General features: G+C 37.4%; 1 protein-coding gene and 1 long non-coding RNA gene across 2 annotated transcripts in view; both read right to left on the bottom strand.

Annotated features, from left to right (window-relative positions):
• The window catches only part of SOGA3-KIAA0408 (SOGA3-KIAA0408 readthrough), an 80,930-nt gene extending 79,560 nt beyond the window's left edge, over positions 1–1,370 (bottom strand). The window contains exon 1 of the long non-coding RNA NR_174482.1: positions 614–1,370. This is a non-coding gene — a long non-coding RNA (SOGA3-KIAA0408 readthrough). The remainder of the gene's footprint in view (positions 1–613) is intronic.
• MTCL3 (MTCL family member 3) overlaps positions 1–1,370 on the bottom strand; it is a 46,362-nt gene extending 44,992 nt beyond the window's left edge. The window contains exon 1 of the mRNA NM_001400265.1: positions 614–1,370. The gene's annotated coding sequence lies outside the window, so the exon portion shown is untranslated. The remainder of the gene's footprint in view (positions 1–613) is intronic.
• Positions 1,371–7,104: the final 5,734 nt, after the last annotated feature.

The raw sequence follows: 7,104 nt of genomic DNA on the forward strand, positions 1-7,104 counted from the left end.
TTCTTGTTAACATCTATTGTTAGCATCACAACTTAGCATGCAGTAATTCCTCATTTTATAAAGAAATATTACCGAAGGGTTCCTAATCCACCTCCCTTTCTGTTTCTGGCATCTCCTTCCAACTCACTTTGAAATATAAAGGTGAACAAAGAAGACATCGGGGGAAAATTGCCCACCAACTTGTTTTCTACATCTTCTCTCCCAGTCGCGATACTACTAGAATGTCTGGCCTAGTTTATCATCATGGGTGGCACTAACATGGGCTATCTAACTAACTTATATTGCCAATGCAAACTTATTTTTGTTTTTAATCAGGCAGAATAATTCCAGAGCTGAGAAGCCAATGTTTAAACTCAGCCCTCAGACAGCATTAACCCAGGCGAAAGCTTGTGTTCCAGTAACTGGGCTCCACAATCAAAGGTATCCGGCTGCTGTCACGTGGTTCCCACAAAGTGACAAGATGCTGCATCTCTTCAAGGCTTTCCCGGTGAAAATTATCACCCAACCAACCCCTGCACGGCTTAGACCAACACTTTTAATCTCAAGTTTTATCCGCCTGCTAACCCACCCCATCATTCATCCCCAACCCTTTAGAAATCCAGAACTTGCTCACTTCTCAGCAGAGGCGAGGTTTCCAAGTAGCTGAACAAATCAACAGCACTTTCCTTCTGATATTCCGGGGATCTCAGGGTTTATTATTGTGCCTTTCTGCGCCGAGGAAAGTTCAACTTCATATTATTGTATGCGACTTTCCGGCTGAGCATGACTTTGGGCTCGCTCGCCGCAGTTCCACACCCACTCGATTTCTCCAAACAATGGCGGTAACGTCAAGATTCAGCTGCCCCCAGAGCGGGTGACTTCCCGGCGGTCCGCGGCTGGGCTGGAGCTGCAGCTCTCAGCAGGCTAACACGCGAGGTACCAAGCTGGGCCAGACGCTCCCCAGGAAGTGCAGAGATGTTCATGAGCTGACCTCACCGAACTGGGCAGGAGAGAAGGCGGGATTGCAAGGGACGATAGGGTAGAAGTAACCAAAGAGAGGTTACTTTCAAGAGGAAAGAGAAGAAGGCGGGGAGGGGGACGGGGGACGGGGGTGGGGAGTGGCGGGATAAAGAGACAAAAAGGCCAGAGCCACGCCCGAGATGGAAGATTGGCAGCAGCGCTCAAACTCCTTGCTCTATTCTCTTATCCCGTACTTGGCAGAGGATCCCAAAACCGCTCGAACACGGATGCACTGGTTTCCTGCAAAGCTTTGTCCTGGGTTCGGTCATTCTCCATCAATTATTTACTTGAGCTTCTTTTCCAAGGAGGCGGACTAGAACAGCCTTCCGGGCGTGACTAACATCTCCTGATGCAGCTGGCTGGCGGCTGCTGGGAGTTCTCTTTGTTCACTCACTTTAATTCTCAGTCGAGCTCTACACGCGGTGCTCCCTCCCCACCCCCAGCCCGGGCGGAGTCATCAGATGTCGTTTCCACGAATAGATAATGGTTGCCATGATGGGACCCACCGTCCCACAGACAAAGGGTTCTTGCGAAGCCACGACTAATTTAGTGCAAACCGAAATAAATATCGGCCCACAGAGATCCTTTACAGAACGGTTTGCCTTCAGTACGTTTTCCTGTTTTCTACTGAGTGCCGGTTTCTACCGTGAAAATGAGTAATTGCTGGGATCCATAATCTTTATAGTAGTGCATGCGAACAATAACAGAAACCAGGAAGAATACATTATATCAGCCTAAAAGGGAATTCATTTAAAAAGAGGAGTTCAGAATATACATGTCTTTACAATTTACACTAACCCATACTGTTTCACAGTAATAATATTTTTAAAAATTAAGTGGAATTTTCTCTTTTTCTTTTCAGTTTCTTCTTTCAGTGGTGGGCGGGGGGCATGGGAGCCTCCCTTCTACCTCTAAGAATTCCTTTGTGAGCTTGAGTATGAGAATAAAAGTAAGTACTGCTTTTGAAAGGGCATTTTAAAATTTAATTTGTCTTACATTTATATGGTGATTTTGTAAGTAAAAGGAAGAAGATATCTTGAAATAATAATAGCTTTTTGTGCCAACATGAATTTTGGCTCAAGAGATTCAATTTTCCAAGTGTTGATCTTGCATTAAAAGTGAAATAAAAACAATTTAGGAGTAGTTTGCATAAAAGCAATTATTACAGCAAAATAAAAACATGCTCAAGCTCTGGTTATTCTTATCTTTAGAGACACATAAAACAAATATGATATCACGATAAAATCATTCATGTTCCAAAATAGGTATTAAAAGCCAATTTTGAGCCTGGCACTGTCCAAGGTACTGGGATGCAAAGCTGAATCAAGAAATTGTCCCTGTGCTGGGGACACTCAAGCATACTGGTGAAAACTGAGATAATTTCCTTATTTTCTTTCAAATACCTTTGGGAACAGGAAAAGTGACATCTGTGACATTTATAATAAAAAGCCCACACCTCGACTAGCATACCAAAAATAAAGGAAAAAAAAAAAAGCAAGTGAAAATGTAATCACAAGTTGGTTTGAATTTATATTAGGCAATTTCTTATTATGTACCCAAACTTGAGCTGTAATATCCTCAAGAAATATCAAGATGCACATGTCTCATCCAATCAAAATGGATAAAGTAGATACAAATATTTTTCAGCTCAATCTTTACCAATAAAATATTGATACTGTAAACACAGTCTAAAGACACAGAATATGCATAGTCCTGCTTCTCTAAGAATTTTTACTCTGCTCAGGCATCTATGTTTTGATTTTTTTTCCGAAAGCGGTATCATTTATTTCGTGCAAATAGTAACTTTAAAAAGTAAAATAAATATTAAGAATGGATTATTATGTATCCTTAAATCAAACAATGTGTCTAAATGTTTCATTTTATAATTTAGTATTATGCAATTTCAAGGTTGAAAACTGTAATAATACAGAATAAGTATAAGCAACATTTAACATGCTTGTTTACCCATAAGTATGCCATAAGAAAAATAACTTCTGAATTGGATATTTTCCTGATTTATTCCTTTATTTGCTGGTTAAAATTATATTGCTTCAACTAAGCAAAACTTAAAAATGATTATTCAAAGGCTTTTTTTCCAAGATTTAGAAAGATTTCAGCATTATTTTTACTGTGTTTCAGAAGCAGACAGGCCAATCAGCCTTCTAATGTTTGCTTATAATAATGAGTTATCCACTTCATAGCACAGCAAAATGTGGACCTTCGATCAAGGGAAGAAGGCTAAAGTCTCAACTTGGAAACCCTTAAGAAATACGTAGTTTAAAATTTCCAACCTCCTATTCTCACGACTTTACATCACAATATCTTAATTTATATAGCTTTATATTTTGCAAGGCCCTTTCATTTTGTGTGCTCAAAACAAAGCGTGTGAAGTAGATACTATCTTCTCCACCAAACACAGAATAACTGAGTTTCAGAGATGTTAAGTGACTTCCTCTAGTTAAATTTCAGAATCACAACTTAAACTTGGTTCCTCTTCTCCATCAATTGTGCTTACTATATTGGCCTTAAGTGCCTCACCTCCTTTTCATAGCATGATGTAAAACTCTGCATCTCAAAGCCAGATTTTGCACCTGTATCCTAGTTCAATCTTTTCACCAATGCATAGAATATCTACATTTGGAGATAACACTATCACCTCAAACTCATGTAATTTTTTTCTTTTTTCCAACTCTTATCTATTTCTATTTATCTTTTAGTAAAGAAAAACAATATATTCTGTATCTATTTTTCTTTTAGTGAAACTATCATGTCATATACTTTCCCACTAAACATGGGCTTCTTCATTGCTTTGTCTTTTCCCTTCACTTCTATAATCATATTTTCTTTCAAAATGTCTTATATTCATCATTTCTTCTTTATCTCCTTTGCAATCAACTACCAAAATGCAGATCCTCATAATTCTAGTTTAGACTGTTACAAATGCTTCCTCTGTTAATGATAGATTTTTTTCTCTCAGATCCGCACTGCTTAATGCTGCCTGTTTACACCTTTATTAAACAACACTTTCCTCATGTCATTCTGTTTACAGTCATGTCTACATTGTTACATCGCATCCAGACTCTTCTTCCTAGACCGCAAGTAAGTGTACTGTCCCCATTCTATAAGATGTACTCTCTAATACATCACTCTGTCCTCGTCAGACTTACTGTCTCTTTTTCTCATGAACATGCAGGCTTATTCTGCTTCTGTACCTTTCTTCTTTCCAGTCCCCATACTTGGTATTTCCCTCTTCCTCTCTAGCCTGAAATCTGCTCATATTTTCAGGTTTAGCTTAAGTTTCAAATCTTTCTGTCTCATGAACTTAGGCAAGTTATTTAAACTTTCAGAGCCCCAGTTTTTTTCACTTACTTCTTCACTTGTTTATTCATACATGTATGATATATTGTTGACTTTTTGTCATTAATAATACCTAGTTTATGTGATTATTATTATGAAATAGTGAAGTTAATTTTTATCACAGTGCATGAAACACAGTAATCATAACTAATGTTAAGTGATGATTACCATGTGCTTGGCATTGTAGGCTATCAGTATGAATTAACTATTATTGTTGTTATTATTATCATTAATTTAACCAAATTCTACCATTTCTGAATTTCTACAAAACTATGTCACACTATTTTAAAATACTTGGTTAGTCTTGGCTTATGTTATAATTTTTCATCCAGAGAGTAAATATTTTAAGATAATATTTCTGTTTTTCTCATTATCTCCAGCAGAGAATTGGATACATAGAAGCTAGGCAATACAAATTGATTAGTAGAGTCATAACTGAGAAAAGCTGATGTGTTTGGGTTCATCTTGTTTTTGGAGAGTAACTTAGCTTGGAGATGTGCCATTGTCCTGACCTTTATTAACATATGTATGCAGTCACACACTGTATTTGTTCTCTGGATGACACTTTAGATAATCATTAATGAATCGTAGAGTCCTTGAGGTGTAAACATCATGATTCATCTTTTTATCTCTAGGCAGGGTGACCAAACTGTATTATACATTGGGATTAGCCTAATTTCAGCCATCTCAATAAAGGCTATTCTACAATCTCTCTGAGTACATGTACACATGTTATAACTTAACTTTATGAGCAATAACTTACAGTTTAATTCATATATTGGAAGAAGGATGTTTTGTGAATGACAGAAATTGCTATTTTATCATGGCTGCCTTAGTTACTCATGCCTTTACTGTTGAGTATATTTGCAGTTAGGCTTTGAATAGACTTCTATTCAAGACTATTGAGTAGTCTTGAGTAACTTTACATCTGTAAGTACTCTTGGTAATTCAACCCAATGTCTAGCCACTCATTATAGCCAACATATTGTTGGATTCCTGATTTCAATCTAAACCCATTCTCATTCTAGTCTTAACCTTAGTGAAAACTTTTAACAACTCTGGTACTTATTATATAAATGCATTATACATATTTAGAATCACCATTAAAGTTCCCCTAATATCTCTACTTTAATAACTCAGAGTCATTAAATTGTCTCTATCTGCATTTTAATAATCCTTTATCTTAGCTATTGTGGATCATCTTGCTAGTTTCAGAATTCATCACTAATTATTATGCCTTAAAATGAGCACAGTAGACCAAGTTTCATTAGCCAGACCGAAAAGGATGGCATCCTAAGTTACAAACTTTACATTTCTAGCTCCCCTCTTCCCCTATGCTGTCTGAAAAAAAGTCAAATAGTCCTCTGCATAGACATAATCTAAGAAAGATCCTAGTAACTGTAAATGGATCTGACAGATATTTATATTATTATATACTGAATATCTGTTAAGCAAACTTCAAATGTAAGGTCTTGATATTCAGTTGATCCAGTTATGAAAATGTAAGCAAACTGCCACTTATATGTTATACTTTAATATCTTGCTTTTCTTGTTATTGTTCTTAGATATCAGTAGGATTTAAATTCAATTTGTAGTCATTAAAGTTTTGGATATTGTAATATGCTATGCAAATTCAGAGTACTTTCTTCTGACAGGATGCTAGATTGCTTTGACTTGATTCATTCTTCACCCAGTGATATTTATTATACATGAGTAATTTTTAGGGTCCTTCAAGGAAATACATAGCACATTCAATGTAAAATAATTTGAAAAAGGTTTATTTACAAAGGGACTACTTACAAGATGTGGATCAGATGTCGGAGAAACCACAATGGAGAGTTCAATAAACTGGAGTTAAGTACCAGGATGGTGCTATCACCACACTTATGCAGAAAAGAGGATACTATTGACAATGGGATTAAAAAGATGAGAGAACAGAGTGGTCACTGTACCCAGAAAAAGATGTGCAGAGCATGCTACTTTGAGAAGAGTGATTTCCTATTGGATGACATAGCTAGCCCAAGATTATCTTGCTGTGAGGGATTCAGTGTTACAATTATCATTACTGCAATTTTCATCCCTGTCTCTGGTGTCCTGCTGGTGCTGTCCATTGCTTGGTCCCTTGAAGTCCAGAAGGCTATAGAACCAACTGATGTGGCCCATAAAGGCCACCTCCTGGTTTGAGATTAGATCTTAAGATGTGAAATGTAAAATATTCAGCACAATAAGCAACAATATGATCAATAATGCAAAGTCTTTAAATTTACAATGTCCCTCACAAACTCATTTTTTTTCTTTTTTTTTTTTGAGATGGAGTCTTGCCCTGTCACCCAGGCTGGAGTGCAGTGGCACTATGTCGGCTCATTGCAAGCTCCACCTCCCGGGTTCACGCCATTCTCCTGCCTCAGCCTCCCGAGTAGCTGGGACTATAGGCGCCTGCCACCATGCCCGGCTAATTTTTTTTTGTCTTTTTAGTAGAGACGGGGTTTCACCGTGTTAGCCAGGATGGTCTTGATCTCCTGACCTTGTGATCTGCCCACCTCAGCCTCCCTAAGTGCTGGGATTACAGGCGTGAGCCACTGCGCCCGGCCTTCAAACTCATTTTTATATATGGTGGTGATCTAAAAATTTCAGTAAAAGCATGTATGTTGAGTTATTTCTTATAATTCTGGTAATGAATTTTCTATGTGGGTATTTTCATTGGAACTGCACATTAATCAATTGGAGAATTACAATTTTATGGTATTA

Source organism: Homo sapiens, chromosome 6, assembly GCF_000001405.40.
Source record: "Homo sapiens chromosome 6, GRCh38.p14 Primary Assembly".
Taxonomy (NCBI): Eukaryota; Metazoa; Chordata; class Mammalia; order Primates; family Hominidae; genus Homo; species Homo sapiens.